This window comes from Homo sapiens, chromosome 19, assembly GCF_000001405.40.
Source record: "Homo sapiens chromosome 19, GRCh38.p14 Primary Assembly".
Classification (NCBI taxonomy): Eukaryota; Metazoa; Chordata; class Mammalia; order Primates; family Hominidae; genus Homo; species Homo sapiens.
The window spans coordinates 34,452,257-34,478,308 of record NC_000019.10 but is presented as its reverse complement, the minus strand read 5'-3'; the positions used below and the strand labels follow the sequence as shown (position 1 = coordinate 34,478,308).

The 26,052-nt window shown below is 42.8% G+C and overlaps 1 protein-coding gene across 7 annotated transcripts in view, besides 1 other annotated feature; it reads right to left on the bottom strand.

Moving 5' to 3' along the window:
* Positions 1-7,057: 7,057 nt before the first annotated feature.
* The window catches only part of UBA2 (ubiquitin like modifier activating enzyme 2), a 42,871-nt gene continuing 23,876 nt past the window's right edge, over positions 7,058-26,052 (bottom strand). For 3 of the 7 annotated variants that reach the window (NM_001411139.1, NM_005499.3, XM_006722962.3), the window contains 7 exons: positions 23,956-24,049; positions 23,753-23,865; positions 19,385-19,540; positions 17,743-17,839; positions 14,178-14,283; positions 11,295-11,431; positions 7,058-9,269 (listed from right to left, as the gene is read on the bottom strand). In NM_001411139.1, coding sequence (NP_001398068.1) covers positions 9,088-9,269; positions 11,295-11,431; positions 14,178-14,283; positions 17,743-17,839; positions 19,385-19,540; positions 23,753-23,865; positions 23,956-24,049 — 885 coding nt within the window. In that variant the 3' untranslated portion in view covers positions 7,058-9,087. Of the gene's footprint in view, positions 9,270-11,294; positions 11,432-14,112; positions 14,284-17,742; positions 17,840-19,384; positions 19,541-23,752; positions 23,866-23,955; positions 24,050-26,052 lie in introns of those variants that run through there. The other 4 variants (XM_011526304.3, XM_024451305.2, XM_047438019.1 and 1 more) reach the window with 2 other exon arrangements.
* Positions 25,118-25,318: a silencer, noted in NCBI's record as "peak3443 fragment used in MPRA reporter construct". NCBI's record gives its function as "represses an SCP1 promoter by STARR-seq MPRAs in K562 erythroleukemia cells {active_cell/tissue: K562}" and the evidence as "EXISTENCE:reporter gene assay evidence [ECO:0000049][PMID:32103011]".

Sequence of the window (26,052 nt, the reverse complement as noted above, 5' to 3'; positions counted from 1 at the left end):
CCCCCTGACCCCATCTTCTATCTCCTCACTCCAGGGGTATTGAGTGATCTCAACAGACTGGCTCCTTCTGTCTGAGATGCACAGTCCAGGAGAAGGATGGGGATGGGGCTCTCTCAAGGGATTTAAAGCACTGTCCATGGACTCAATGTCCAGCCCCCACTGATTCCCCCTCTGTCCTCCCCTGTTGCAGGAATGTTCTTTGTGTTCACCTCTCTCTGGGCATTTTCCTCCTGAGTCCAGTGGTGTGCTGGTAAATGTCTAACAACCAGCTCTCTGGGGAGGAATTTGTATAAATCAGGAGCCCTGATGTGTAGCATTTGCCAATTACCATGGTATAAATACTCCCAGCATGGCCAATTTCAAGCTATAAAGATGGGGCCACTGAACTGAGCTGGAAAGAAATGGGTATAACCAGTTCTTGCAAGCTGGGATAAGCTGGCTCCACACACCGCTGCCTGAGTCCCACTGTTCCAAAGGAGGGGTTTCACTACACTGTGGCTTCCAGTTTATCATCCTCTCAAGTTAACTGGTCTTCCCTTTGTTAAGCAAAGACACACTTGGAGGCCAGAACAGGACATGTTCAATCTAGTCTTGCACCATGTCCTGAACCATCATCATCATCATCTTCCCAGAACCCAGGAGCTGACCCTACCCAGACTCTGTCCACGCCATGGTGATTTTTTGTTTGTTTTTTGTTTTGAGACGGAGTTTCATTCTTGTTGCCTAGGCTGGAGTGCAATGGCGTGATATCGGCTCACCGCAACCACTGCAACCTCCGCCTCCCAGGTTCAAGCCATTCTCCTGCCTCAGCCTCCCAAGTAGCTGGAATTACAGGCATCCACCACCATGCCTGGCTAACTTTTGTGTGTGCACGTGTGTGTGTGTGTGTATGTGTGTGTATATATATGTATGTGTGTGTATATATATGTATGTATATATATGTGTATATATATGTATATGTATGTGTGTGTGTGTGTGTGTCTATATATATATATATATATATATTTTTTTTTTTTTTTTTTTTTTTTTTTTTTGGAGAGACGGGGTTTCACCATGTTGGCCAGGCTGGTCTCAAACTCCTGACCTCAGGTGATCCACCCGCCTCGGCCTCCCAGAGTGCTGGGATTACAGGCGTGAGCCACCAAGCCCAGCCTACAATGGTGATTTTTTAAGGAGCCCCTCATGCCCCTCCTTGTAATCTAGCTTCCATTAGACCTCCTTAATTGTCTGTACTGTATGGACCCCAGGTATTGACAGAATTCAGGGGTTTTCTCATGGAGTCCTAGGCCACTTATCAATCAGCTGTGACTGGATAACGGGTTATGAGGGAAGGGGAATGGCAGCCAAACTCCACAGGAAGTTTCTGGGACCCACACTTCTTTCTCCTTAGCCTATGACAGTTTTTACCCTTGTCGAATTTCCAGCACCAGTCTCTCACCTGAAGCACACACACCTTTCCAGCTCAGCTCCTGGGGGCCACTCCTCCCACACACAGCACCAGGCTCAAGATGCACGTTCTGTCCTATCCACTGGGAGGGCTTTTTCCATCCCCTCTTCTCTGAGCACCCATCCTGTGTGCTGCCACGCTGAGAGGCAGCTTCCAGGAGCTCTAAGAGTCATAGAAACCAACCTCATACTCAAAAATATAATACCAGGCTGGGCACCCAAGGGAATTTTTTCAACCCCTCTTCTCTGAGGCCCCACTCTTTCTGCCAGATTGAGCCTAACTTCAATCTCTCCTGGTCCTGTTATCCCCTTTAGGCCTGAGGATGCAAGAAGATTCAAAGCATTGATCACTGAAGCCATGGATAGATTGGGGAACCAATCTAAGAATTAAGGCTAAGACATGATACTTGCAGCTTGCTTCCTTCCTGTTTCCATGGGGGTTTTTGTTTTTTGTTGTTGCTGTTTGTTTGGTGTGTGTGTGTGTCTGTAACATGATCCCACCCTGTCATCCAGGCTGGAGTGCAGTGATGCGATCATGGCTCAGCTCCCTGCAGCTTCGAGCTCCTGGTCTCCAGTGATCCTCCCACCTCAGCCTCCAGGTTAGCTAGGACTATAGGCGCATGCCACCATGCCAAACTAATTTTTGTTGTTGTTGTTGTTGTTTTTCGTAGAGTGAGGTTTCACCATGTTGCCCAAATTCCTGGACTCAAGCAATCCTCCTGCCTTGACCTCCCCAAGTGCTGGGATTCCAGGTACAAACCACTGCATCTGGCAAAGGCCCTCTTTTCTTGTCTTGAAGCCTTACCATGCACGCAGGAATGGGAATTTCTGCCCTAACTTTGTACCATGGTAAAAAACCCCAGCCAATCTACAGCTCAATGGGGAGGACCTATTTGGGGATGCCCAGATTAATGGAGCTTTTGGTATTATTATTTTTTGAGACAGGGTCTCACTCTCTTGGCCAGGCTGCAGTGCTGTGATCACACCTCAGCCTCAACTTCCTGGCTTAAGTGATCCTCCCACCTGAGCCTCTCAAGTAGCTGGGACCACAGACACATGCCACCATGCCTGGCTAATTTTTTATTTATTGTAGTGATAGGGTCTCACTATGTTGCCCAGGCTGGTCTTGAACTCCTGGGCTCAGATGATCCTCCTGCCTCAGCCTCCCAAGGTGCTAGGATTACAGGCATGAGCCACCATGCCCAACCTGGCATTAGGCTTTTCAGTATGAGGTTGGTGTTTATGACTTCCAAACCTCCCGGAAGCTGCTGCTATAACCAACTGGGACATCTGCCTCTCAGTGTGGCAGCACACAGGGTGTGGGTGCTCAGATCTCCAACTCACCACCTACTGCTGTCAAAATGACATGAGGAGTTGGGTTTTCATTCACGCCAGTCTTTAGTTCATTGTGCTTTCAAAGGTTTCCACCCAGGCTGGCAACAGTGGTAACGTTTTCCACCGAGTGCAGCACTGCAATTTGTGTTGACAGAATGGCTGAATGACATCGTCTGCACAGTGCCTAAATTTCCTGAGACTGGTTGATCTGAGAATCAAAGTAAACCATTGAAAGACTCTAAAGTGCAAAGCCTGAGGACCTTCTCAGACGCTGTACGTTCTGGTAAAGCTTTTGCTCAGAATCTTTCCCAATCTGTGAGTCATCACTTGTTGCTAGACTTAAAATTTTTAAAACTGGCATGAGTCAGAGACATTTAGCAAAACTTCCTAAAATGTTACTTTACCAGGAGATAATTGTCTTCAAAACATAGCCAAACTACACAGTGGCGTTGTAGCCCCGTAGTTCAACTGTTGATTTTTAATTTTTTTAGTTTGAGTTCTAAAATTTTTCAAATAAGCTTTTGGATGCAATGTGTTTTGAATTGGATGCAGGAAAAAGAAAATGTTCCTTCTGTGAGCACAATGCAAATAATGTGCTCCCAGTGTGAAATAAAAATACTTCTCTAAATATATCCTCCCTCAAAATGGTCAAATGGACCTCAGGAATATTGCTTTAAAATGCAAAGAAACAGGAGGTCCTCCCTACCTCTACATGTCACAATGACTAGAAACATCTGCTGACATTTTTTCTTCTCTGATCTTTTTGGGTTTTCTTTACTTTTCACATTTTTATTTTATTTATTTATTCATGTATTTATTTTTTTTTGAGACAGTCTCACTCTGTCACCCAGGCTGGAGCACAATGACACCATCTCAGCTGACTGCAACCTCTGCCTCCCGGGTTCAAGCAACTCACATGCCTCAGCCTCCCAAGTAGCTGGGATTACAGGTGTGCACCACCACACCCAGCTAATTTTTCTATTTTTTTAGTAGAGATGGGGTTTCATCATGTTGGCCAGACTGGTCTCGAACTCCTGGCCTCAAGCGATCTATCTGCCTCAGCCTCCCAAAGTGCTGGGATTACAGGCATGGGCCACCTCACCTGGCCCACATTTTTGGTTTTTGTATATTACAAAAGGCTGGTAAGTGGCTTACATTTGGCCATGTTCCTTGGGTGTAGGCCAAGTCCACGTCAGACATGTATGCCACTGATGGACAATTTTCAGGAACATCTATTATCAACTAAATGCTGTCTGGCAGCCTCTGAGTGGGCCATTCATCTAGTGGGAACCACCTGGCTTAGTTCTCTGGAGGCTCAAATGAAAGAGAATCCTTCCTAAGTCACAGCCTAGCAACAAGAAGGATGGGTAAAGCTGACTTCAACAGTGTTGAGCCCAGAATCCCACTAACACTTTCTCTTTCCACCTTATATGTTTAATAACCTTTATTGCCTTTCTGACTTTAATCATAGGACATACTCAATATAAAACTTGGAAAAGTCAAATAGGCACAAAAGGAAAATAGACTGCCTGTGTATGTATATATGCATTTGTGCGTGTGTGCATATATATACATATATTCACTTCTATTATGAAAGTTTTCAAAGCTGAATGGTACAATGAAACACACACAGTACCTAGGTTCAATAAATGTTAATTTTGCTGTTTTCCTCCCCATATAGCCTGAGAAAGGTGCAGTGGCTCACAACTGTAATCCCAGCACTTTGGGGGAGGCCAAGGAGGGAAGATCGCTTTAGCCCAGGACTTTCAGACCAGCCTGGGCAACAGAGCAAAACCCCTTCTACAAAAAATTGAAAAAATTAGCCAGGCGTGGTGGCGTAACACCTGCAGTCCCAGCTACGTGGGAGGCTGAGGGAGGAGGATCGCTCGAGCCCAGGAGTTTGAGGCTGCAATGAGCTATGATTATACCACTTTACTCCAGCCTGGGCACCAGAGCAAGTACGTCTCAAAAAAAAAAAAAGTTGCTGGTATTGAAGATTTGCCCATAATACACTAAAAAGAACATAATTACAATCACATTATCGTACTGAAGAAAACAATTCTATATTACCTATATTCGTTTCATTTTCAAATTTCCAATTGTTACAAGAATTGTTATAGTCATTTTTGTTGAACTAGGATGCAAAAAAAATTATTCATACATTGTATTGGGTTGTCTCTTAAATGTCTTTTAACCCCAGAATGCCTACTCCTTCCTTTTTTGAAATGACACTTACTGAAGAGCCCTGGCAGTTACGGAATATCACAGATATTCTGCTCACCTGATTGTTTCTAAATGTTAACTTGTGCCTCTACCCCCTCTCCATTTCCTGTCAGCTGGAGGTCTAGATGCTTGGTTAGATTCCAGTCAACAATTTCTTGGTGAGATACTGCTGTGTTCTTGGTATCATCTTAGGAAGCACAGAAACATCAGGCCGTCCCATAAGTGACACTAGGTTTGATCACTTGATTATGGTGGCGGCAGTCAGATCTGTCAATTGTGAAGATTGGTGTTTTCCAAATTAGGCGTGGTGGCTCACATCTGCAGTCCCAGCTACTCAGGGGTGCTGAGGTGGGAAGATCACTTGAGCCTGAGAAGTCGAGGCTGCAGTGAGCTGTGATCACATCACTGCACTCCGGCCTGGGGGACAAAGCGAGACGCCCCTCTCTAAAATAAGTAAAGATTGATGTTTTCCTTTTGCAAGTGACCTGTGCAGCAACATTTGAGTGTTGTGCTAAAATTCTGTTCCTCAGCAGCCTTTTACCTGAAAGGTTTTGGCATCCAGTGATCTTTGCCTGGTCAGTTATCTCATTAATGGGTTAAAATGTTGGAACCTCTCATGGCACATGCTGAGCAGCCAGTAGTCTTCAGGACAATGGATTCTCTAGGTAAACTTGTCACCACACTGTTCCAAGTGAGGCTGGAAGACAGTTTGTCAACACCATATTTCAGGCTGGAGGTGGAAAGAAGCTGTTGAGGAAACTCCCTTTGCAAGCCCTACTCCCAGCTCCCAGCTGGTGAGACAATTTACATGGAAAAACCATGAATACAACACAAGATCTGAAGTGTCTCCACCCTCTAGGCACCTAGGGAAAGCTTGGATTTGCTTTGGTACACTGTCTAGTTGTACAGGATCCCTGCAACTAGTAGTCAGACCTGCCTTCCTAACAAACCTGCTGAAAAAGGTAGTAATAGTTAATGCAAAGATGAAAAACACTGGTCTGCCAAATTAGAAACAACTCCGCAGACCTAACTGGCACTTATCATCATGCACTATACATTCAAATAGGAAAGAACAAAAGAACATACACAAAATATCGGGAACACATTGTTAACTGTGTCTACAAAGCAGGGTGAGGACAGGGCACGCGGCTCAGGGCCTATAATCCCAGTACTTGGCAAGGCCAAGGTGGGAGGATCGCTTGAGGCCAGGAGTTGGAGACAAGCCTGGGCAACGTGAGACCGTCTCCACAAAAGAAGTTTTAAAAATTAGCTGGGCATGGTGGTGAGCTCCTGTAGTTCCAGGGACTTAGGAGGCTGGGGAGGGAGAATTGCTTGAAGCCAGGAGGTCAAGGCTGCAGTGACCTATGACGGCACCACTGCAAAAATAAAGGCAGGCAGGATGATGTGTAAGAATGGACAGAATTTCAAAATCAAATTTCTAGAGAGCTTTTCAGAATAAAAAGTTTGAAGAGTGAGACGGCATCCTAAGATATTTCATTTTATATTACATAGTTAAGTTTCAAATTATTTTCTGGAGGAAAATTAAACACCTTCTAAAAACCTAAAGGCAGATGAAGCTCACAGGTGAAAGTCACTCCACTCTGGGGCTCCAGAAGGCTGAGTCTTAGTCAACATGACTTTTTTTTTCTTTTCAGAGACAGGGTCTCATTCTGTCACCCAGTCTGAAGTACAGTGGTACAATCTTGGCTCACTGCACACCCCGCCTCCCAGGCTCAAGCGATCCTCCTCCATCAGCCTCCCGAATAGCTGGGGCTACAGGCAAGTGCCACCAGGCTCAGCTACTTTTTGTATTTTTTGTAGAGATGGGGTTTTGCCATGTTGCTCAGGCTGGTCTCAAACTCCTGGGCTCAAACGATCCTCCTGCCTCAGCCTCTCAAAGTGCAAGGCTTATGGGTGTGAGCCACCACACCCAGTCTTCTACATGGTTTTTCTGAAAGCTCTGATTACATGCTGAATTTACAAATGGTGGAAAACAAGGAGTAATGGTTAATAAGCTGAATGGTACAGTACAAATTACACAAGGAACAATACATGAATTAGAAATTTAAAATTTAGTTGAAATATAAAATAAATTATTGCCAGAAACACAAAGGGCACATGAATACAATAGGGGAAACAGCTTAATGGCTTTCTGTTCTCTGAAAACTCAAGGCCCATCTCTGAGTGATAAGAGTACCCTAACAGGCAAAGCCCTCTGAGGTCCGGGACCAGGAAGACAGTGCTACTCCACCTACTGGCGGTCTGGCACTATCTGTAGGCTGGAGTTGGGCTGGGGATGGTACATTCAAAATGGACTTTGGTAAACTAGGGGACAACCCAGACAAACACTGCAGAAAGGAGGAAGGACTCCCTTTCCAGCATCTCAAATTCAAGGCTCCAAGTTACTGGGCTTGGGCAAAGTCACACATTTTCTCAACAAAGGCCAACTGCTGACAATCCAAATTTTAAAAACACTGCCATTAGGCCAGGCGCAGTGGCTCACGCCTGTAATCCCAGCACTTTGGGAGGCTGAGGCAGGTGGATCACGAGGTCAGGAGTTCCAGACCAGCCTGGCCAACATAGTGAAACCCCATCTCTACTAAAAATACAAAAAATTAGCTGAGCGTGGTGGAGGGCGCCTGTAATCCCAGCTACAGGGGAGGCTGAGACAGGAGAATCGCTTGCACCTGGAAGGCGGAGGCTGCAGTGAGCCAGGATCGCGCCACTGCACTCCAGGCCAGATGACAGTGTGAGGCTTCATCTCAAAAACGAACAAAAAACCCACTGCCATTAAAAGCTTTATTTTATTTACTTATTTTTTAGAGACAGGGTCTTGCTATGTTACCCAGGCTGGCCTTGAACTTCTGGGCTCCAGCCATCCTCCTGCCTCAGCCTCCTGAGTAGCTGGAACACAGATGTGCACCACCACCACACGCAGGAAGAGCTTTATTTTAGAAAGTACTCTTCCTACATGTGAAGTCTCCAAGAATAAAGAAAAGAAAGTACTCGTCTTTGGCAAACAGTGGAGATCTTCTGAACCTTTTTTGAGATGGAGTTTCACTCATCGCCCTGGCTGGAGTAGCAATAGCACAATCTTGGCTCACTGCAACCTCTGCCTCCCGGGTTCAAGCAATTCTGCTGCCTTAGCCTCCTGAGTAGCTGGAATTACAGGTGCCTGCCACCAGGCCCGGCTAATTTTTTTTTTTTTTTTTAGTAGAGATGGGGTTTCACCATGTTGACCAGGTTGGTCTTGAACTACTGACCTCAGGTGATCCACCTGCCTCAGCCTTCCAAAGTGCTGGGATTACAGGCATGAGCCACCGTGCCCGACCGAGTTCTTTTTTTAATGAAAAGAATTTGACATTCCTGCAGTAGATATAAGGCAGCAGAAACAGGAACTGTGCAGGCATGTGTAACAAGAATGCAGATGCCATTTATTTGGTCCATAAGTATAGTCGTTATTTGAGTTTTACAAAACATCGAATATAAATAACCTGAAACTGTAACAATACACAAAAATTGGCTTCTTACACAGACATACCAGGCGGTACAAACTGAAAACTTGAGTAAATTAACATTGTTTTACATTAATATACATAGTGCCATCTAACATTTAAAAACAAGTTTCAATGCATAGCACTCGATACTTCTTTGAATCTGTTTCAATCAGTTAAGAGTATGAAAATGGTTAGATCTAGGCTAAAAATAATTCTTCTTCTAGCCAAAAATAAAGGCATAATATTTATAACCAGGTATCAACTTTACTAAACCACAATATTTTGAAACTATTAATGATACCTACGGGTATTTACATTAAAAAGGCAACATGCATTGTGTTGTTTTATCTCATGACTGGTTATGCACACACTTTGTTCAAAGGGTTTTTAAAACTATATTCCTACTTTCAATACAGCATACTGCAATGTGTCTAACAGTTCTAGCAAAATGAATGCTTTCAAAGGGAGCAGAATCATTTTCAAGTCACTGCTGTCAATTTTTTCCCTTTGGAACAAAGGACATAACAATCTGGTTCTGCCCAGATAAACTAAATAGTAAGAGGGTTCTGTTTAGAGGCATTTCTGTTCAATCTAATGCTATGACATCATCAAGCTCTTCCTTCTGTTCTATACGTGACCTCTTTGCACTGAGATTCTCTTTCTCATCTAATTTCCTCTTGCGGCTTCTCTCTTCTTCACTGACGTCGGCATTATTTGAAGAATCTTCTTCATCTGAATCAACTATGAGAACGTCATCTTGCTCTTGAGCTTATTTCAGAAAAAAGGGAAAAAGAAAATGGGTAAAAGCGTGGGAGTTACCTGTGCTCACCTGTATTTTCTATAATTGAAAGCTGACTCTTCTAATACACACCAGACTTAAGAATGGCTGCATTTTCACTTTACACATTACGTATTTCCATACTGTTTTAAATGTTTTATATAAGAACCTATTTATTTTCTAATCAAAACAAAAAATTGTGACAAGCATTATGTAACTCAAAGTACTCATTACACATCCTTGATTCTACCTCCACATTCTCCAATAGAAAAGCAGAGGGTACATATTCTAATAATGGTAGTAGTGGTAACAATAGCAACAACAATACAGCACTTACAATGTGCCAGGAACTGTTCTGAGCACTGTGCATATGACAACTCATTTAATCATCACAACCCTATAAAGAAGATCACATGAGTATCTGCTTTCCAGGAAAGGAAACTCAGTGAATGACTTCCCAAGCTTACATAGTAGCAGAGGATGAAGCCAGGAACCATCCCCAATGCAGAACTGATACTAAAGGTGGTTTTATCTCCTCGTCCAACAAAATCAAAGGCAGAATACCTATCTTACTCATGGCTGTAACCTTGGAAACCTACCCACAGTAGAGAATCAATAAATGTACATTTCAAATTATGATTTTGGAAAATCTACCAGATAGTCTCTTCCTCAAAGGAAGATGACGGACCTTTCTAATTTCAGTGAGGGGGGAAAAAACAGGTTATGAACCAATGACCCAGGCCATAATCTGAATGTTCGTCTCCAAAATTCTCAAGAGAACATTAGAGCCAAGAGTAAACATATTCCAAAGAATGCCACAGACATAGGGTCAAAGAAATGAAAACAAAGAAGTCAAAATCTGGTAACCTTTAGTTTCCTAACTAAAGGAAGAAAGGGAGAGGAGTAAATATTCAAATCAGAATACAGTAAACAATCAGTTATTTGGAAAAATACCAAGCACCAGCACTGAAAATCCAGGGGAAAGGACTATACCCAAGTCATACTGGTGACAAGGAAACTCTAACATGCCTAAATTCCATACTTAACAAGCACCTGTTCACTCAAAATAGTCAGATGCATGGATTTATTGCTCCTTAAAACAAGCATACAAAACCCCAACCTGCTACTACATAGGCTGACTTTGCACACTAGTAAACTATCATTTCAAACTGTTAAAAACCAATTAACAAAAAATAACAAAGTGTTCTTATTTTCTGTAAGAAATTTCCATAAGAATTTCCCCCAGTCTTAAATGACTTGTTTGTTTGGAGCCGGAAGCCTCGCTCTGTCACCCAGGCTGGATGGAGTGCAGTGGCGCGATCCCAGCTCACTGCAACCTCCGCCTCCTGCCTCAGCCTCCCGAGTAGCTGGGACTACAGACGCATGCTGCCACGCCCAGCTAATTTTTTGTATTTTTAGTACAGATGGGATTTCCCTGTGTTGCCCAGGTTAGTGTCAAACTCCTGAGCTCAGGCGATCTGCCCGCCTCGGCCTCCCAAAGCGTTGGGGTTACAGGTGTGAGCCACCATGCCAGGCCTTAAATGACTTTTTTTTTTTTTTTTTTGAGACATGGTCTTGCTGTTGCCCAGGCTGCAGTGCAGTGGTGCAATCATGGCTCACTGCAGTGTCGAACTCCTGGGTTCAAGTGAACCACTTCAGCCTCCTGAGTAGCGGAGACTACAGGTACACGCTACCATGCGTGGTTAATTTTTTTTTTTCTTTGTAGAGATGGGGGTCTCTCATTGTGTTGCCCAGGCTGTTCTCCAACTCCTGGCCTCAAGTAATACTCCCATCTTGGCCTCTCAAAGTGCTGGGATTACAGGTGTAAGCCACCACACCCAGCCTTAAATGTCTTCATGGTTCATAAATTCAAAGCTCCATTACAACAATCAATACCAAACCAATACACACCTCTAGTAGTTTTATGGATTTATGGTCAATGTTCCTAATAATCAGTTTGTTTTTACTTCTGCTTTGTGGGTATTTAACAACCTGCTGGCTGGGGCCATACTCACCTGTGGAGGTGGAGGGCTGAGCTCCATCATCACTGCCATTGGTTATGCTTTTGGCAGCATCTTCAGCTTGTTTGGGCCCCACTTTTTCCGGGGCATCACCAACAACTTCAAATTCAACGTCCTTTCCTAGGTCTTCACTGTAGGAGAATCACACAGGTCACTGCTATGACTATTTAGAAAGCAAAGGAGCACCAGAGAAATCCTGTTGTTCCTCAAAGCATACACTATGTATACACCAAATATGTGGATTCTAATTTTTTTTTTAATTTTTATTTAAAAAAAAATGAGAGATAGGGTCTCATAATGTTGCCCAGGCTGGTCTTGAAATCTTGGGCTCAAGCCATCCTCCCACCTTGGTCTCCTAAAGTGCTGGGATTACAGGCGTGAGCCAACCATACCCACCTTGGATTCTAATTTTCAAAGCACTGAACTTATAATAAAAAAGACGGTACACAACAAATTTCTGTGATAATCAAAAACTCTACATGCACTTTCAAATCAGGGCAAGGTTTTGGTTTTTTGTTTCTTTAAAACAGTAAATAACTTTTATTGCTGAAGCATAAAACTGGGTCCAAAGCTTGGTGGCCTAAAGCAACTCTTGGACATTATTTCTTTAGCTACAATGCCAAAAAAAGATTTCTACATCCTCTACTTACAATGTGATCTTTTTCTTTTTTTCGAGACGGAGTCTCACTCTGTCACCCAGGCTAGAGTGCAGTAGCGTGATCTCGGTTCACTGCAACCTCTACCTCCCAGGTTTTCAAGCTATTCTTCTGCCTCAGCCTCCCAAGCAGCTGGGACTATAGGCGCGCCACCACACCTGGCTAATTTTTTTGTATTTTTAGTAGAGACAGGGTTTCACCATATTGGCTAGGCTGGTTTTGAACCCCTGAGCCTGTGATCCGCCCGCCTCAGCCTCCCAAAGTGCTGGGATTACAGGTGTGAGCCGTCACGCCTGGCCTACAATGTGATCTTAACTATAGTAATGTGGTGTCTTATGGGCAGAACTACATGATTTCTGGGTCCCCCCATCTTTACAAGCTACACCATGCTTCTGTACATGAACTCCCAAAAACATCAGAAACATTTAAGTCAAACAAAAGACACACGTTTTAAGGGGTGGGGTTCTGTTCCCAGAGAGCTAAAAAATATGATTAAAAACCCTAATTATGCCTCCTCTTTTAGATACCTTGTGGTATTTCCACTTTATTGTACATGTCCTTCCACTGTCTTTTCTTTCACAAGTGAAAACAAGCATGCCACTTATATCTAGTGTCCAACTGAAGCAGGACCACTTTGACTCCATTATCTAACTGTGAAATACACTACTTACTAATAACTCACATTCAGTCCTTCCTGTCATTTTTTTTTTTTTTTCTGACATGGAGTCCCCCTCTGTCGCCCAGGCTGGAGTGCAATGGCGCAATCTCGGCTCACTGCAAACTCGGCTCCCCGGTTCAAACAATTCTCCCGCCTCAGCCTCCTGAGTAGCTGGGACTGCAGGCACATGCCACCACACCCAGCTAATTTTTGTATTTTTAGTAGAGACGGGGTTTCACCATGTTGGTCAGGCTGGTCTTGAACTCCTGACCTCGTGATCCACCCGCCTCAGCCTCCCAAAGTGCTGGGATCACAGACATGAGCCATCGCACCTGGCCTCCTTCCTGTCATTTTATGCTTTTTATAAACAAAGTATGAAATGTAGTTCTCTCCAAATAACCACACCAACACTATGCATGTTTGTATACTCATGAAAATATTGACAAAATAACTGGACGCAGGTGGCAGCACCACTAAACCCTTTATGTTTGTTAGATGCTACCCATAAATCTCAAGTCAGGCACAGTTCCACCATGTCAATGAGCATGAACAAAAATGCACCCTGGTCAACACATGAATATATCAGAATAGGGGGCCATGTCTATCTTAACTGTGCTATAGACTCAGGAATCTGTACAGACAATTCCTTTTTTTTTGAGATGGAGTTTTGCTCTTGTCACCCAGCCTGGAGTGCAATGACGCAATCTTGGCTCACTGCAACCTCTGCCTCCTAAGTTTCTGGGATTACAGGCATGCGCCACCACCAGCCTTTGGCCAGGCTGGTCTCAAACTCCTGATCTCAGGTGATCCACCCGCCTCGACCTCCCAAAATGCTGGGATTACAGGTGTGAGCCACCATGCCCAGCCAGTACAGACAATTCCCAATATTCTTTTGTTATTGCCACAAAATCACAAACGAAATGATTTGTTTTATGGAAGAAATATTTTTTTCTAGAGAACCTTGAAAAATAATTAATAATTTTATTCCAGTTTAATTACTACAATGAATTTGCCTCTGTTTAAACTGTTCAAACACCTGGACTCTAGGTCTTTCTGATAAGCCACCACTGATGACAGTTACTCTTAAAACATTTTTTGCTTATTTCTTTTATTTCTGGTTTTCTTTTTTTTTTTTTTAAGTTGGAGTCTCACTCTGTCTCCCAGGTTGGAGTGCAATGGCGCGATCCCGGCTGACTGCAACCTCCACCTCTCGGGTTCAAGGGATTCTCCTACCTTAGCCTCCCAAGTAGCTGGGACTACAGGCGCCTGCCACTATGCCCGGCTAATTTTTGCATTTTTAGCAGAGACGGGGTTTCACCGTGTTGGCCAGGTTGGTCTCGAACTCCTGACCTCAGGTGATCCGCCACACCCCGCCAATTTCTGAATCCTCAAATTTTTCTGTAGGTCAAACATCACGGAACTCAGTGACCAACTCAACCAAATATACTATACAGTTTCAAATGAACAGCAGGGTTTAAGGATAAGAAAACACTTTTCCTTCATTTTGTCTAAAGTTTATATATTCAAATAATTTCTTACAATTAAAATACTAATAGCTCTTACCTATGAAGGATGTTGATCAATAAAGTATAGTCCTGGAGGAAGTCATCTGCTTGAAGCCGGCTGCCATTTCTAATTCCAAATTCTGACAACTTCTTGTGATTATTAGCTAGGAAACGTGAATAATTTAGATACTTCAGTTACATCTTCATAGAGCAGTCAGGTTGATTTTTTAAAAAGCTAAACCTCTGTTATGGGCTGATTTGTGTCCCGTTCACCAAAATCCAAAGGTTGAAACCCTAATCCCCAGTATCTCAGAATCTGATTGTATTTGGAGATAAGACTTTTTAAAGGAATGATTAAATTTAAATGGGGCAAGTAGGGTGGGCTCTAATCTGATCTGACTGATGTCCTTATAGGAGGAGGAAGGCAGGCACAGTAGCTCACATCTATAATCTCAGCACTTTGGGAGGCCAGGGAAGGATTGATTCCTGAAGCCCAGGAGTTACACAGTGAGGCGTGTGACTGTACCACTGCACTCCAGCCTGCTAGGCAACAGAGCAGCAAAAAAAATTTTTAGGACTCTGTCTCCAGTCAATCAATCAATCAATCAATCAATCCCAAAATCTGGACAGAGACATCAGGGATGTGCACCCCTAGAGGAAAGGCTATGTGACACAACAGAAAGGCAGCTATCTGCAAGCAAAGGAGAGAGGTTTTAAAATAAAACAAACCTGCCAGCACCTTCATCTTGGTGTTCCAGCCTCCAGAACTGTGAGAATATAAATTTCTGTTGTTTAAGCCACCTGGGTTGTGGTATTTGTTATGGAGGCCCTAGTACCCTAAAACATTAAAACGCTGGGAATTCAGTCTTAAAACACTTAACTACCGAAACTACTTCAGGGGGACCAAACTGAGAAATTCTGAAAACTTTTCCCCATTCAAATCAATTTTTTTTAAAGACAGGGTCTCACCGTGTCACACAGGCCAGAGTGCATCCCAGACTTGAGCAGTCTTCCTACCTCAGCCTCCAGAATAGCTGGGACTACAGGTGTGCACCACCATGCCTAACTAATTTTCTTTCTTTTTTTTTTTTTTGAGACAGAGTCTCACTCTGTTGTCCAGGCTGGAGTGCAGTGGCACCATCTTGGCTCACTGCAACCTCCACCTCCCAGGTTCAGGCGATTCTCCTGCCTTAGCCTCCCGAATAGCTGGGATTAAATGCACCCCCTCCACCATGCCTGGCTAATTTTTGTATTTTTAGTAGAGACAGGGTTTTGCCATATTGGCCAAGCTGGTCTCCAACTCCTGACCTCAGGTGATCCACCCACCTCGGCCTCCCAAAGTGCTGGCATTACAGCTACAACGCCCGGCCTAATTTTTGTATTTTTACAAGAGATGAGGTTTTGCCATGTTGGCCAGGCTGGTCTCAAACTCCTGGCCTCAAGTGATCTGCCCGCCTCGGCCCCTCAAAGTGCTAGGATTAGAGGTGTGAGCCAGTGCACCAAGCCCAATTTTCTATATAATCTCAATTTTCAGTCTCCCCCCACTTTTTTTTTGGCTTTTTAACATTTTTTCATTATTTATAAGGAAAACGCTTAGAACGCCTTTCCCTACGTTGACACCCAGAAAATACTAACAGTTTCTCCTAGTTCTTTTCCAGATCTGTTGCTTGCTTTACCATTTTAATCTACCAGGAATGCCCTTGGCATTCTTACCCAGATTTCCACCTCCAAGCCCTTTCACACATCTCCACTGACTGCAAACCTCTTGGAACCATCACATTCAAAAGGAAAACCAGTTAATGTGGGTTCACATTTTGGTGAACTAGCATCACCTGTGAAGTCTTGTGCTCGCCTAACAACGCTGCTAACATTGTAATGCTATTCCTCAACTGGGCTCCAAGTTCTGACTTTGCAAATCTCAAATCTATCACCTGCCTCTGCCTTAGTAAAAATCCCTCAATCCCCTCCTCCCTAATAGCTCCCTGCTACTCCCCTGTTTAAACCCTGGTGGCAGGTGGCAGTGAAATACTGCCCCTTCCTCTGGAGGGTAGGGGTCAAGGGAGAGGAGGAAGACACACACTGCACATGTGACAAGAAAGACTTCAACCTCACCACTGCTGCCAACCCCTCAGCACCCCAACTTCCAGCGAAACCAAATAATGGGCCACTCCCAAGGCAGTTTAGGTTGTTTCACAAGTTCACACCTTTGTAGACAGATGTTCATTCTGTCTAAATGCTCTCTTCTTTGTCCAGGGAGTCCTCACTACTACTTCAAAAACTGACCCAAGAGTACTCCCTCTCCTATTACTCCCCCTCCGTTTCACAAAGCTGAATATACTTTCCTTAGATTCATACTGTGTACACACTCTTTCTAGTTTTCCTTGGACGATGCTCAATCCAGCTGTTGACAATCTCCCTTCTTCCAGGCTGCAAGGCACTTCAAGCCAAGGTCTGTTGTCTTATTCATCCTTGACTTATGAATACCCAAAACTATGCCTGTCATACAGGACTCCACACATATTCTGGTAAGTGCTGTCTCACCCTCCATACCACATGTATTCCGTACAGAAGGGTCACGCTGAAGCCACTGAAATTCCTGACCAGTTTCCATTTTTAAGCTAGCATTTGAAAGAGCTGGCTACAACTAAGGGACAGCATATAATCACAAACAAACATTTTTTTAAAAGTCAGCTGGCTAGAATGAGGCTTGAATACTCAAGTAGACTCCTAAAATAGAGCACCACACAGCCAAAACATGGCCTCCAATTACACATGACCTAATAGCCCAAAAAATTTCTCAACAAGCAACTACAACCAAGAAGAACCTTGACACTAAACCTGAATTTAAAGAAGGCTTAACATCTGAATCGCCATCAGGACCTCACAAAGTATGAATAAATGACCAATGGACAAATAGGTATGAATTAAGTCAATATACAGGGAAACACAGGGCCTAGAAACCTTCGAAAATAACAGTACACTGGCAAAAACTGGGACATGGAAAAAACGAGAACAGCAACTCAAGAAATGAGCTGCAAAAGTGACCAAGGAGGTATAGGATCAACGAGTACAGTCTGAAGGAGGAATAACTACGATGCAATCCTTACTATGAAAGCTTCAACAGAATCAAATGTATTGTACCTTGTATAGCAAATGTGTTAGCAAAAGGGATGAACTGCTTGAACTTTTGAAAGGAAAGATCAGAAAGCCAAAACCGGGCACTGAATTTCAATAATCTTTCTGCTATATAGTAGGAACAGGCTACCAAGGCTTCCCCACTCTTGGAGAAAAATCTCCAAATGCCTTAGAACCCTACCCACTGTGATCTGACAGACAGAATAGTCTTCTCATCACAAGGTTAGCTCCCAGGATCCATGATATCGGCAAGGAGGTTCCTTGGAAGTGGACAAGAGCACTGCAGTCCCTGAAAATGTCTGACATGGAGTTCCCAAACATGGAAGTGTGATGACCCCCAGCAATGTCACCTTGAAAGAGCACCTTCATGACCAAACACTGCCACTCTCTGCAATACTGAGTATCACATACAGTAAATGAATCAACTAATGTGCACTCTTCAAGCAGTCTCCTCAATGAGAGGAATGAATAAATACAATGTATGATACCTTCCGTCTCTCCCTCTTCGGAAGATATTAGGATTGTTCCTTTCCCATCTTCAATTTGGACATCTGGTGCTACCATAGCAAATTTTTCTTTCACTATCTACAAAAAAAAAAAAAAGGATTCAAAATATTAACGTAGGTAATTAAAGATCATAAGAAATCCTAGACTTCTATAAAGGCTCTTACTTTCCCCTTCTATTTATTGGAAACCGGCGAAGTCACTCTTCAAGATCCCTTAGAGCAAGCAGGAAAGCCGTGGGGATTCACCTGAGTTCCATCCCCACATCTGACCACTGATGCAGATCAGATCCAACTTCATCTCAACAGGGGACTAGGAACTCCCTGGCTGGCTCTTGCTACTTTGTCTTTCCCTGCAGGTTAGGTAGTGAGCTACACACTTGACATATTTCATTTCAGTCTCTGTGCCAACCCTGTAATGGCAGGGGTTTCATAGATGGAATCAGTTCTCATTAACCTGACTCTCAGATAAGTCTCCCCGTTCCATGCATTTAGAGAAGTGATAATATTCTGTTAAATCCTACCAGCTCCTAAAAAAGAAAGAAGGAAAAAAGGAGGAACTCTCTATAGGTCTAAGAATCCTACAAATAGAGGAATAACCTTGAAGCTCAAGAATCAGGAGATACCAAAGATAATTATTTCCTAGAAAAGAAACTGGGGCAACCACCCGCTGCTGTACCTGCCACTTCCTTGACCAAAACATAAGCTCAAATCAATCCGTCCTGCCTAACCAGTTTCTGGAAGAAAGGCCATTCCCTATCAGGCAGCACTGCTATTTGAGAAGGGCCACTTCCTCCTCTCTCAAGAGGCATGTAAATATGTAGCATTATGATGGTCACAACCAGAGAACAATAGGAAGTGATCCCAAAGTGGAAAGTGACACTTTTGGGTCATAAAAAAAGAAAATCTCCCCTAATACACAAATCTAGCCAATTTAACAGGAACTTAAGGACCAGACCATGTCCTAAACCCCCATTTCTTCCCTCGCTTCAGCTCCAGAGGTGAATCCAGGTGTGCAAATGCCCTATGTCCTCAGGGACTAACTTACCATATCAGAATCAGGTCATATTAGATAAGTGTGTACCACCACTTAGCCTCAACTCAGACCTCAGAAATAACAAAAGCCCCCTAATTTGCTGGGAGTGGGCACTGTCCAACACGCAGAGAAACCAAAACTCTGCAAGTTACTTATACCCTTTAATACAAAGCTGGTAACTGGGGCTTTGCTCTACTGGAAATGCAAACTTTGCACTGCATGCAAATACTTATCTGCTCACTGCCACAGTGAGGACCATTCAAGGATACCTGTTATTTGTCAAAAAATACAGAATTTACCCACTGCCTGGGAAGCAAAGAGCAAAGAAGTCCTCTGCTTGCTGTGATACTGTGCCACCACTGTGCTGCAGATTCCAGTCAAATACTCCTACTCCATTCTGGGAATGTGAGGCACTTATTCTGGAACCACAGACAGAAAAGCCTGCAGGAATCCAGAAGGCAAAATAACCCAGGAAATCACAGCCACACATCTCTGCAGTTGGACCTTTTCAGAATCAGCAGCTAGTGTTTGTTTGTCATCACAGTAATACTGTAAAAGCAAAAGGAAAAGAGACCCAGGCCTTGCACTGACCTTGTCTTGTAAGGTGAGAACAGTCACTTTATGGACATTCAGCCGCACAGTCACCTCTGGCTTGCTGGCACATACATAACAATTGGGGTTGGGAGGATCCAGTGCACAAGGCACAAGAAGCTTCTTTCTTGGGTTTGGTTGTTTATTCAAAAAAATCTTTGGAGGAGAAATAACAGGCAGAAATCGGAAACGTGCTGTAATTTTATACGCCATACAATCTAAAATCTCGTTTACCAGATATCCAATAAAAAATGACTTAAAAATTCCCGTCCAGATGGCAAAATGGATCAGGAAAATCATGACCTTTTTAGGAACCTGGTTTTTCAACCTTCTTTTTTTTTTTTTTTTTTTTTTTTTTTTTTTTTTGAGACGGAGTCTTGCTGTCGCCCAGGCTGGAGTGCAGTGGCGCAATCTCGGCTCACTGCAGGCTCCGCCCCCTGGGGTTCACGCCATTCTCCTGCCTCAGCCTCCCGAGTAGCTGGGACTACAGGCGCCCGCCACCTCGCCCGGCTAATTTTTTGTATTTTTTTTTTAGTAGAGACGGGGTTTCACCGTGTTAGCCAGGATGGTCTCGATCTCCTGACCTCGTGATCCGCCCGCCTCGGCCTCCCAAAGTGCTGGGATTACAGGCGTGAGCCACCGCGCCCGGCCTCAACCTTCTTTTCTAATCAGCTAAAGGCTAGGCTAGCTAGGCTTGCTGAAAAGACATCTCCTTGTATTATATAAGACTCCGCGTTCTTCTGCAACCTGATTTGGCAAGAGTAAGGGCACAGGCATGTTAATCTGTGGTGCCATCATTGTATCAGCAGCTGGTGTCCCTCCCTGAGGCTATTCTTATCAAGCAAGCAATCTCCTGACAAGACCAACACATTAATTTCTCCAGTTAACGATAGTGCCTTTCACAGTTGTCTAGAATCAACATCACTGCCTTCCCAAATTTTCTGATTAGAATAACATTTATATAATGAGGGAAAAAAATGTATTTCTGGCAGTATATGTACCTATTTACCATTTCTCTAATACTAAACAAAAAAATAATTAAGAACCAAGGCAAATATACAAATTACACTGAAATTAAGAAAAGCTCCAAGCTCCTGCTTCTACTAAAGTTTAGAAAACACTAGCAAGATCCAACAGAAACAACAAATGTCAGAAGACAAGAAGCTGAGACACAAACCTTTATCTTGTGACTACAATGTAGTGTTGAGTCTGCTAAGAGGAATGAATTCTAAAGGAGTACTCTACGGATTCCCCTGAGAATACAGAACTAAATCCCTCAAGAGACACTAAAGCCGTCCTCTGTAAAATAGCTTCTCCGTACAATGAATACTGGTAGGTGGAAGGGCTAGAAGCAAACTGCCCAGGCCAAGCAGGCTACAGAGGGAGAAAGATTTGTTTGATTTTGGGCTTCACCGGGAAGGTAAGTGTGCTAAGGGAAACTGACAATAATAAAAGCAATTGCTACCACTATTAATACCTGGGCTAACATTAATCCAGGCTGGAATTCATTTGCAAATGTAAAAAAATGAAATCCAGATATATTACTATATTTTTTCTTGAGGCAGAGTTTCGCTCTTGTTGCCAGGCTGGAGTGCAATGGCGCGATCTCGGCTTAATGCAACTTCCGCCTCCCAGGTTCAAGTGATTCTCCTGCCTCAGCCTCCTGAGTAGCTGGGATTACAAACATGCACCACCATGCCCAGCTAATTTTATATATATATATATATATATATATATATATATATTTTTTTTTTTTTTAGTAGAGACCAGGTTTCTCCACGTTAGTCAGGCTAGTCTCGAACTTCCAATCTCAGGTGATCTGCCTGCCTCGGCCTCCCAAAGAGCTGGGATTACACGTGTGAGCCATCGTGCCCGGCCAGATATATTACTATTAATAGTCCAAGAGTGGCATGGAGCTAAGCAGGCAAAGAAACCGGAAGGATGTGATGGGAAATAACAGACATTTTAATAAGTTCAGTAATTAGTACTGTTGGTGAGCTCAAAGGGATACTACAGCTTCAGGCTGCTATAAAAAATTTTTTTTAAATAATTTAAAAACTGGGTATCGGCCAGGAACGGTGGCTCACTCCTGTAATTCTAGCACTTTGGGAGGCCAAGGTGGGCAGATCACCTGAGGTCAGGAGTTCATGACCAGCCTGGCTAACATGGTAAAACCCTGTCTCTCCTAAAACTACAAAAATTAGCCAGGCGTGGTGGCACCCGCCTGTAATCCCAGCTACTGGGGAGGCTGAGGCAGGAGAATCACTTCTACTTGGGAGGTGGAGGTTGCAGTGAGCTGAGATCGCGCCACTGCACTCTAGCCTGGGTGACAGAGCAAGACTCCATCTCAAAAAAAAGATACCAAAAAATAAAGTTCTTAGAAATTAAAAATATAACATATACAATAAAAGTTTAAATAGAAAACTAAATCAAGATGGCAGACTGGGCAATTTGATTCTGTTCCTTCAAACTGAAATTTCATGAAAATAAAATATTTTAAGAGTGCATCGAGGCTGGGCGCAATAGCTCACGCCTGAAATCCCAGTACTCTGGGAGGCTGAGAAGGGCGGATCACTTCAGGCCAGGAGTTTGAGACCAATCTGGGCAACAGGTGAAACACCGTCTCTACTAATAATACAAAAATTAGCCAGGTGTGGTGGCATGTGCCAGTAATCCCAGCTACTTGAGAGGCTGAGGCAGGAGAATCGCTAGAACCCAGCAGGTGGAGGTTGCAGTGAGCCGAGATCACATCACTGTACTCCACTGTACTCCAGCCTGGGTGAGAGCAAGATTCCACCTCAAAAAAAAAAAAAAAAAAGAAAAAGAAAAGGAAAAAAAGAGCGCATCGGGCCAAGTGCAGTGGCTCACACCTGTAATCCCAGCACTTTGGGGGGCCAAGGTGGGAGGACTGCTTGAGCCCAGGAGTTCAGGACCAACCCGGACAACATAGCAAGACCCCATCAGTTTAAAAAAAAAAGGCCGGGCGCAGTGGCTCATGCCTGTATGCCTGTAATCCCAGCACTTTGGGAGGCCGAGGTGGGCGGATCATGAGGTCAGGAGTTCGAGACCAGCCTAACCAACATAGTGAAACCCGTCTCTACTAAAAATACAAAAATTAGCCGGCATGGTGGCATGCACCTGTAATCCTAGCTACTGAGGAGGCTGAGACAGGAGAATCGCTTGATCCTGGGAGGTGGAGGTTGCAGTGAGCCAAGATTGTGCCACTGCACTCCAGCCTGGGCAACAGAGCTAGACTCCGTCTCAAAAGATAAAAAAAAGTAAGTGTGCATCAATGACACTGCAAAATAACAGTACCATTGCAAACTAGATATTTTTTGAAATTTCTGAAGGTAAACAGGTCTTTTTATTTCAATGATAAAAAGGAGAACCTAAACAACAGTCAAAGTATTGGCTAGTATTTCCTAGGAAGCCTTCTTGAGCTGGTAAGAAAGCGAAGTGTCTGCAGACACAACATCGAAGGAAGGAATCCAAAGAGAACATCCAAGTAGTGTTAGCCTTAAGAGATACACCTACCCCACCCACCACTAAGGTAGGAACTCTTAAAACAGGAGACCCTTACACAAAGCAAGGACCTGAAAAGAGAGGAGAAAAATACTTTCTCCATAAAAATGATCTTAAACTTGGTGCTTAGTGGAGGGGGAGGAGTATCTTCCCATATAATTCATGACAATAACATAGGGCACGTGCAGGTTTGTGGTCTGAATACATAGGTATTGAAAATCCTAATTTAAAAGTGGTCCTGTATTGGCAGTGCCCCAAGCACCCAAATATAATAACCACAAATGCTCTTTGAAGAAATACATCTACAATGGGTCCCTAAAGAATTACCAGACACAATTCTAATACACATTCAGTTTTTAAAAAATCATAAACCATACAAGCAAATCACTACGAGAAATAGCAGAAATGACAGCAGACTCACCCATAAAGATCTCAGACATTAACATTATCAAAAACTATACAATAAAATTGAAAAGAATGACTCAATAGGAGAATGACTGAACAGGGGACTATAAAATGACCAAGCAAATTTTAAAACCCATATAGCACTCTCAGAATTGAAAAACAGTTGAAACATCTTCTTAGTATAAGGACCGCACAATGAATTCTTCGAAGAATTCAGTAAAATTGGAAATGTTAAAAGCAAAAGCAACTTCTTAATTTTTCCTTTTTGTTGCAATTTCCAGGAAGCTTAAACACACACTCACTTGGTAACCAGAAAAATTACTTTTCCATTGCTTTAAACCAATTTTATTGTTTTCATTTTAAAAATTATCTGTTTAATGTACTTTTAATTAATGATTTTTTTAAGGGGGGTTGCATAAAAATGCAAACAGAAATACTCACTGTTCTGCACTGGTCTATTTTTCCTGATAAAATCTTCAATCCTTCCAATACTATCAACCCAGCAATTACTGCATTAGTAGTAGCAATAGCAGGAATAATGTTCCCTGCCATTGCTGGGAAAAAAAAAAAAGGATGAGTATGTTTCACTGTTTAAAAAACAACTTCAAGGTTTTAGTGATACAACTTTAGTACAAATAACTTACATTTGATATCAAATCTACTCTTCATATTCATACTGAAAATATGCATCCTGAGGTTTGCAGCAGAGGTGACAAAATCCATTGCAGATGGGTCATCCTGCCAATAATTTAAACAATTTAACAAGTTTCTCCACAAATTGACTATTTTGAAGCATTACTTTCAGAACAATACTTTCACGTGTTTATAATACTATAGACTTTCGACTAGAACAAGAGGTTGCTGAGGGAAAGACCAGTCAGCTAGGACCTCACAGTAGCATGGAGGTGGGTTAAGTAGGGGGTGGGGTCTCATCATCAGCTCCTCTGGTCCAGTAATGAGTCTGACAAGAACACCAAGAATCACCAGCTTCTAGGAACTCACTCCAGCCTAAACAAAGGCACCGGAGACTCAGTTGTATACACCGGAATCTCAATTCCACTCACTGACAATGGCAACCCTTTCCTGGTTCCATTCATCAGTAAAGAGAAGGTTGCTGGACAAACACAGAATCCAGGCCAAAAGACGAGCAATTTAAGAAAACTGTTTTAGGCTGGGCATGGTGGCTCATGCCTGTAGTCTCAAGCAATTTAGTAGGTTGAGGCAAGCAGATTGCCTGAGCTCAGGAGTTTGTGACCAGCCCGGGCAACGTGGCAAAACCCCATCTCCACCAAAAACACAAAAAATTAGCCAGGCATGGTGGCGCACACCTAAAGTCGTCCCAGGTACTCGGGAGCCTGAGGTGGCGGGATCACTTGAACCCGGGACGCAGAGGCTGCAGTAAGCCAAGATCATGCCACTGCACTCCAGCCTTGGTGACAGAGTGAGACCCTGTCTCAATTAAAAAAAAAAAAAAAAAAAAGCTGTTTCATTAACACTTCAGAAAAACCTGGATGACTCTTTTTCACTCCCCTTTGCCAAACTCTCTTCATATGCACCACTCTCTCACATATGCTGTTTCTTCAAATAAGGCAATACAATCCAAGTTTTTCCTGTTACGATTTGTATTTTTCCTGAGACTATATCCTAGTCTCTAGATTTCAGCAAGGCTTCCTGCTTTGAACTGAGAAGATATCACCCTGGTCTAAAATTCAGAGGCATCACAGAACAGAAGAAAAAATACTGAGAGCATAGTTCTTTATGTATTTATTGGCTGGCTGTGAATCCTCAGGCAAGTCAAATTCCTTGAGTCAAAATCTCTTAATCTATTAAATAGGGGAAATTATATCCCCATCTCATAAGGTGTGGTGAGGACTAAGAATACTGAATACTCAACACAGTGTCTTCCCTAAGCAGCTGTCTTATCACACCCATTACATGTGGACTTTACTCAAGAGGATAACAATTCCCATTCCAAGGGCTCTTTATTTAGCCTCTGTGCACTAATCAAACTTCCCAAATCACTAGCATAACAATAACAATGAAAATATGAAAAGTTACCCTTTAAATATCACAAAACCCAAGAGACTAATGTTTATAAGAATCCCAAGAATCTAAATATACTAGCTTCATTTTAGTGTATTTAGATGTCTGATTCAACCAAAGTTTCAAAATATGTACACACAAATTTTTCTTAGGTTTCTAAAATTGGCCTTTATGCCTTAAGACCCATGACTAATCTTCAACACCACAGGAACATACAAGCTTCATGAGATAAAACACTTTTAGCCATAGAAAATACTGATTACAATTAAAATTAAGTAAAATTAGTTCATAATATCAAATCTCAAAAGATGACATAACTGCAGAGTACTATTAAATATGATTTTAACTTCTAAGAATAATTACATCTCATTTTTGTATCAAGAGCTCTGTCTTTCAGACCTCTGAAATAGTAATAACTATTTCAATTCAAAGACAATCTTACTATTTTCAAGGGCAAATCAGGCCAATGAGATGTTTTCTCCAAATGATTTTATGACTTCTATGAATACATCTACTCTACACAAGAAACATTTCACTTTAATATATTCACGTTATTTTTCTAGTCAACATAATTATAAACCCTGAACACATCACTAGAATCCCAAATGAAGTTTTATGATATTGCTTGAATTCATGTACAGAAAATTCAGCTCCATACAGCAATTAGAGCTGAAAATATCCAAGCCAAATCAATATAT